Below are 8,143 nucleotides of genomic sequence, written 5' to 3'. Positions count from 1 at the left end.
TCTTTGAACGAAATATACACTAGTAGCCTTTAAAAATTAAATATTTCTACTGTTTTAAAAAATTATAGCCATCATAGTATGAGGAAAAAATGTAATAATCCTTTTTAATTCTTACCATTTTATTAACTACGGAGTCCTTATGCCCTAACTTCATTGGTACCCCTTTGAGATTAAACAGAACACTTAATTTAAAATTCTGATAAATAAATTAATTACACCACTTACTTGAGGTACTCTTTCACCTTTCAAGAAATATTTTGAGAATTCATTGGCTAAATATTGCTATAATGCAGGCTAGTAATAAATGGAAATAATGAGTTCATTGTAAAGTTTAAACTAATGATGGTATGATCTGGAATTTTTGTTAACCTAGAAGACATAATTAGCTCTAGAGGTGAAATGAAAGACAAAATCACCTCACATATTAGTAAAAAACAAATAATATAACTTTATAAGCTGCTGCTGTTCTTTTGCTATTAAGAACCATTGACATCTGTAATTAGGGAAGATTATGGAAAGGTTAAAGGTGAGAATACATGCAGTCTATCTACAGGAAACCTATACTGTTTAGGTTAAGGAAATGTCTGCGAAAGTCATATTAATTAGCAGGTTCACAGGAAACTAACATTTATTGTATAAATTCCATGGTAAAATGTATTAGGGCTCCACGCACACAACTGTGTGCCATCTACGTTACCACACAGTGCTTACTTCTTTCAGTTTTTATTCATTTCTCTCCTAACGGTCTGTATGGTATTATTGCATAGTTCTAAAAACCTTCCATGAGGCAGAAATTTCATTTAATGATATAGCTTTGAAAACAATGAAAAACAGTAGAAACTTTCTATTTTTTTATGAAGCAGAATTGTTGAATTTTCAGTTTCATTTATTTAATGTTACAAGATGACAAACATATTTCTTTAATTCCCTCTTGTTATTTTTGTCTAACATCAACCAAAGCCATTTCTTTCATTTGAAGGTGAAAACTGCTCATCAAAATCCAGTTTAAGCTGAGAAACAAAGAACTAAATTTTGCATGAGAGATTATACACTGCATAAGTATAAAAGAGGACCAGAAACAATGGTGGATTAGCAATTTTTGAAAAGACAAAAGCAGGTTATCATCAAATCAATTGTTACCAACACCCCAATTCCACCTCTAGGCCAGAAAATTAGCCACTTACCCACGGGAAAACAATGATTGAAGACAAAGTTCACCAGTGAAAGTTGGTTATATTTTTCCATCCTTGCATCAACTAAAATGATATCTACTGTTCCTCTTAACACTTTTCTTACTTTCAAATATGTGGGTATGCTTAATTAGCTGAGGCCATGTTCCATATGTACATCTGGCTACAAGGGAAACTGGGAATGTGAGCCCCAATACTTATGTTTGTAGAGTATTTAGAAATTTGAGAATTCCCTCCAAATAAAGAGTTTTTTAAAACATTGTTAGACAAAAAGTTTGAATTACAAAATGTGGTAGTAGCTCAGGTCTAACTCAAATGCAGGGAAAAAACTATTAGCTCTAAAAAAATTAAATACACATTTGATGGTAATGAGAAACAGAAAACAGGCAGAAATAGTAGAATATTCAACCACTGATGAAGTATTCGACCATTGAATAAAGAAAATTGCAATGATTTAAATTTGCATCAATGCAACTTCACACCTGATGACACTTCCCAGTCTGTGCAAAATTAGGTGTCTACGAGTAAAGCGGTGAGTTTTACTAGCTTGAGGAATAAGAGCACAGAGTCCCAAGCTGACAGAAAAGAAGAACTGGGAAATTTGAATGACATGGGAGGAAATCTCACAAAACTGAAAGTCACAGAGGAGAATGTCACAGAGTAAAACTCTAAAATCAGCACTTAAACTTCATTCAGATATATGATGGCTGCTACATTTCACATTCATAAAAAGAGACTCCATAGAATCCAGCAGAAAACAGCAGCTAAATTGCTAGAACAGAGCAGAGATTTCAACCATTGCATATAGCTCAGGAGTGAAGGTTTGGTGTTTGACTACAGAAAGAAGACTAATGTTAGAAAAGAGTCACTCTTCAAAGGAAAATAAAAGACCCTATCTCTACAAAATATCATAAACATAATCTAACATTTAATTTAACCTGCCTAGACATAGAACCAGGAAAATTTGACACATAACAAAAAAATAAACAATGGATTAAGACATTGAAATGGCCCACATGCTGGAATTAGAAGATAAGAAATTTAAAATAAGCTATTATAAGCATATTCAAGGATTTAAGGAATAGATGGTCATAAGAGAGAATATATGGAGAATCTCAACAGAGAAGTAAAAATGATAAAGAGATAATAGGACAAATTTTAGAACTGAGAGACAGAATATCTTATATAAAAATGTCATTTTATGCACATACCAGTTAATTAAAGATGGCAGAAAAAACTATCAGTGCACTTAAAAACAGATCAAGTACAATTTCCCAATACAGTTAATACAAAGGAAGAAAAATAATAAAAATAGAGTCAGTCTAGCACTAATATAATTGGAGTCCTAGAAAGAGTAGAGAAGAAAATGAGACCGAAAAAGCTATTTGAAAAAGTAAAGACCAAAAGTTTTCCTAATTGTCAGCATATATCAACTTACAGGTTTAAGAAACTCAAAGAACAGAATAAAAATAAAGAGAACCAAATGAAGACATACCATACTCAAACCACTGGGCAAAAAAAGAGTAAATCTTGAAAGTAGCTAAAGGGAAGGAGAAAATAATTTACATACGTGGAAACAAATAGACAGATGACCTGTCATCAGAAATGACACTTTAAAAAACAATGAAACTACATCTTCAAAATTAAAAAAAAAACTGTCAACTCCAAATTCTATAACTAGAAAAAGTAATTCTTGAGAAAATAAAGATTTATTCAGATAAAAGAAAGCTTCGAACAACTGTCATTAGCAGACCTAGATACAAGAAATGCAAACGGAAATTTTTTAGGCTAAAGAAAGATAACAACAGATGGAAATTCTGACCTACAGGAAGCAAGGAGAAGCTCTTGGAATGGCATGTGCATAAACATGAAAAACTAAGGCTTTTTTCTTTTAGTTTTATAACAAACAACTGATGGCTTAAATAAAAAATTAAGTGTACTATTGATAATGTATGTAGAGTAAAATATTCTAAATTAATAGCTCTGACAGGAGACTAAACGCAAAAATTTTGCCACAACTTTTCTTTATGTTACATGAAAATGTTGACTATTAACAGTAAGTGGACTGTGATAAGCCCAGGATGTTTATTATAATCCCTAGAGAACCACCACATTATATGAAGATATTCTTCTAAAATGCCAATAAAGGAATTAAAATGGAACCCTGAATATTGTTCAGTTAATATAAAAAGGCATGAAAGAAAGAACAGAGGAGCAAAAAATGATGGAACAAATAGAACATAAGAGCAAAATAGGCTGGGCGCAGTGGCTCAGCCTGTAATCCCAGCACTTTGGGAGGCCAAGGCGGGTGGATAACGAGGTCAGGAGATCGAGACAATCCTGGCTAACATGGTGAAACGCCGTCTCTACTAAAAATACAAAAATTAGCCGGGCGTGGCGGCGGGCGCCTGTAGTACCAGCTACTCCGGATGCTGAGGCAGGAATATGGTGTGAACCCGGGAGGCGGAGCTTGCAGTGAGCCGAGATTCCGCCACTGCACTCCAGCCTGGGTGACAGGACCAGACTGTGTCTCAAAAAAAAAAAAAAAAAAAGCAAAAATAGTAGGCTTAAATCCAAACTTTTCAATAATTATTTCAAATATAAATACTCCAAATAAAACACAGATTGTCCAACTGGATAATAAAAGTACCTATAAGAGATGCATGCCAAATATTATGGTATAGATAAGTTGAGAGTAAAATAATTTCCAAGTATACCAAGAAAACAACAAGCACAAGAAATCTTATGTGGCTATATTAATATAAGAAAAAGTAGACCTCCAAACAAGCAATATTACAACAGACAGCTATTTCACAATGATAAAATGTCAAGTAATTATGAAGACATAATGCTGTATTACTGACAGAATAACTAAAGAAAATTAAGATAAAATAATTTTGACAACAGCTTGACCTAATCGATATTGATCAAGACAATAGAATATATGTTCTATTATGCTACACATGAAACATTTATCAATAGGCTATAGACCACAAAATATCTCTCAAGAAGTTTCAAAACACTGTAATCATAGAAAGTATGCTTTCTGACCATAATGAAAATGAGTTGAAATGGTTAAAAACAAGCTACCCAGGAAAGTGTACACTATTGGAAGTTTTAAATACACCTTAAAATGCCCTTTAGCTCAATGAAGAAATCATAAGAAACACCTTTAAATACATTGAACTGAATACAAATAAAAATATACTATATCAAAATGTATGGGATAAAGTTAAGCAGACCCAGATTAAGTTTTTTGTATAAATGCTTATTCTAGAAAAGAGAAGTTCAAAACAAGTGAACTAATTTTCTACCTTAAAAAGAAAATCTAAAACAAGAGAGCAAATTAAGTCCAAAACAAGTAGAAGAAAGGAAATAAAACAGAAATTAGAAATCAATGAGACAGAAAACAGAAACAGGAGAAAATCAACATGGCCAAAAGTTCTGTGAGAAAGAAAGAAAACGCAAATTATAAATATCAGGGATTAATGAGATTGTACAGTTGTAGACACAAGAGACATTAACAAGATAATGGAATATTGTGAAACATTTTATACAAATTTTCATTACTTGGATGAAAGGGTGAATTTCTTGAAAAAAACTTATAAAAAAATTCACAAGTTTAAATGGAACATATGAAGTAATTGACATTTATTAAAGTAATTAAATTAATTGTAAAATACCTGCACATAAAAACACAAAATTAAAGAAATAAAAAATAAGCAAACCCCAGATCCAAAGAATTTCACTGGTGAATTCTTTCAAATGTTTAAAAAAAATAAAATTTTTAAATTATTTCAGAAATAAAGAAGGGGGAAATTCCAAACTTGTTTTATGAGTCAGAATCCTGATACCAAAATTACAAAACCTAGGAATGCAAAATTGACTTCAACTTAAAGAGCTATCACCATTTTAATCTGTGACTCTAATGAATTTGGCTATCTTAGATACTTTATACAAGTGGAATCATACAGTTTGTCCTTCTGTGACTGATTTACTTTACTTAGCATTAATGTCCTCTAGGTTCATCCATGTTGCATATTGACAGGCTTTCTTGTTTTAAAGCTGAATAATATTCCGTTGTATGAATATACCACATTTTCTTTATCTATTCATCTGCCAATAGACATTAACCTTATTTCCACATTTTGATTAGTGTAAATAATGCTGCAATGAGCCTGAGAATCATCCCAATCTCAATTCTTTCAGATAAATAACCTGAAGTGAGACTACTAGATCATATGGTGGTTCTACTTTCTTAATTTTTTTGAGGAACCATCGTACTGTTTTCCATAGAGGCTGCACAGTTTTATTTTCCCAGAAACACTGTAGAAGTGTTCCAATTTCTCCCCATTGTTAACACTCGTTATCTTTTTCTTTTAATAAGACTATTCTAATGGGCTTGAGGCAATATCTCTTTGTGGTTTTGATTTGCATATCCCTGATTAGTGATGCTGAGCATTTTTTTCATGTATCTGTTGGTCATTTGGATATTTTCTTTGGAGAAATATCTATTGCTGATTTAAAAATAAAAACTCTCAGCAAGCTAGAAAAAGAAATTTTCTCGAAGTGATGGAAAGCATCCACAACAAAACATATAAACAATACTATATTTAATGGTGAAATCGTAAATGTTTAAACCACATAGATTAGGACAAGAAAGGGATGTGTGTGTTCATCACCTCTATTCAACATTGTACTGGTGATCCTAGATTTTGAGTATAAATATTTAGGGGACAACTATTGTCACTGAAGCCCAAATCTTGGTCATCCTCAGAAAAAAAAAAAAGTTGATTAGGTTGTATATAATCTAATTCTACTTGCTAATATAATTTCTCTAAAATTACAGCTTGTATCAACTCTAGAATTTATTGGGCACCTCCTAGGACATAAACACTGGAATTTGGTGAGAGACGTCAAATAGGAAAGAACCTGGCTCTGAAATAAATTCAACACGCGGAGGGGGACACATGTTATGAGACTGACCTGGCCTCTTCATCTCATAAAAGGGGTTCTTGTTGCTGGTAACACAGATTAAAACTATTTCAATTACATTCAAGATAAAAAGATTAGCAATGGTATCTAAGTTGAAAAAATCACCCCGTAGGAAGACAAAAGTCTCACAAAAGGATATTTAAGCTAGCCAACACTTTGAAATTCAGGCAGAGATCGTGCTTTCTGGGTGAACTAAAGTAGCAAGAACAAAGTAGAGGCTCCAATTCTAGGAAAGATGGGCCCGAATAAGGTTTACAATCCAGAAACTCAAGATATCCAGACAGAAGGATGCAGTCTCTGCTTTCAAGGCAGCAGCAGCACCTGGATTACTAAGCCAATCCCCAACACAATCATAAACACAAATTTGATTGAGGAAGAAACTTGCCCACCAGAAGATTTAGGTTATTACAAGGTAGAATGTGATAGAGAAAATGAGCATGGGACTGGAAACAAAAGGAGGTAGCCCCATGATTACAACTGGAATATATCTGTCAGCGATGGTGCGGAAATAAGACTGAAAAGAGAGATCCTTAAACCCCACGTGCCTTACATCAGGACTAATCCTGGACACAGGCTGGAAAGCATAGCCTACAGGTGGTGAGGGAGGAGGAGTGGGCTCAGCTGTGAGAAGGAGAAGGAAATATGGCTGAAAACCAGATAGGGGTCTTGAAATCACACAGAGGATTTGGGCCTTTGCTGCTGTCTGCCAGCAGCTGCCAGTAGTTCTCACACTTTGGCTGGCAACAAAATCACCTGGGACAGTGGTGCGGAAGTGCGGGGAGTGTTGTAAAACCACAAGTGACCAGGCAAAAAACACCTGTATGTTTTCCAATTCAGTAAGTACAGAAATATTAATTGGAAAAAGGTGGAGGTCAGACATTGATAGTGCTGTGGACTGCTCCAGGGACGTAAGCATGATCTTTAGAGAGGTGACTCTAACCAGTCAAGGGCAACCACTGGACAGAAAGAAGTCCAGACCAACCGTACACAGAGACATCATACAACTACACTTTAGCAACCTCTCCAAATAACATGTCTCTTAGTGAAACTTGGGAGGTTGAAAGTTAAAAACAAAATCCAGTGGCATTTATGTATCCTAGGCACTTACATTTGTCTGATTCTTCCAACTTGCCTTTGCTTGCTTAGAGTTTTGGGTAGATAAGAGGTGGATTTACATGTGCTAGTGTGAGAACTTTGATAGACTCATTTAGACATTGACCTACTATCTTGATGTTTGAAAGCTAAAACCCAAAGAAATTTGTCTTTTTACATAAAACAAATTCAGCCCTTGCCTTCCTTGTGGATTACATCTTCCACTACCAGTAATAAAAAAGTAACAATATGCATAAGTCAAAGTATCTTCTTAGATCCTCTGTAGTGTTTTATTATTTAGTTGTGTTAATTAAAGTAACTGTCTCAAAATTTCAAGGAATTCCTGAGAAGCAATTCATGTTCAAAGGCTTCCCTCTTGTGACAATATGTTGCATGTTTTACTGTAAAAGTAATCTTATTTTACCTTATAACCTCTACAATAGAATTCATAACTGCATAAAAAGGAAATAAAACCTTACATAATTTTGAATTTTAAAAAGTACCTTGTTTATATGGCTCCTTTAGCTAATGAATAGTCAATTTGGTAAATATTCCAGTGAGTTGAAGGTTTGAATCCATCTCACTTAACTAGCTTGATGGATGCATTTCTAAACCTATACAACCCACTCCTCTGCTTTTAAAAAATTAAAGTTAGCTGTAGATTGAGGTGTCAGTGACACAGTTTATAGAACATAACTTAGATTGTCATCTACATTACTGTAACTATAAATACCACCCTCAGATGGAAGAATCAGTTTTATCAGTGAACATCTCTAATTGAACTATAAATGGTGTATGTTTTCTGGCTTTTACAAGCTCTTGGTCTAACACAGGGGATATATGATGTAAAAATTACAAAGCAAGGT

This window comes from Homo sapiens, unplaced genomic scaffold, assembly GCF_000001405.40.
Source record: "Homo sapiens unplaced genomic scaffold, GRCh38.p14 Primary Assembly HSCHRUN_RANDOM_CTG28".
NCBI lineage: Eukaryota > Metazoa > Chordata > Mammalia > Primates > Hominidae > Homo > Homo sapiens.
The sequence above is the reverse complement of the archived record's forward strand: the minus strand, read 5'-3'. Positions refer to the sequence as shown.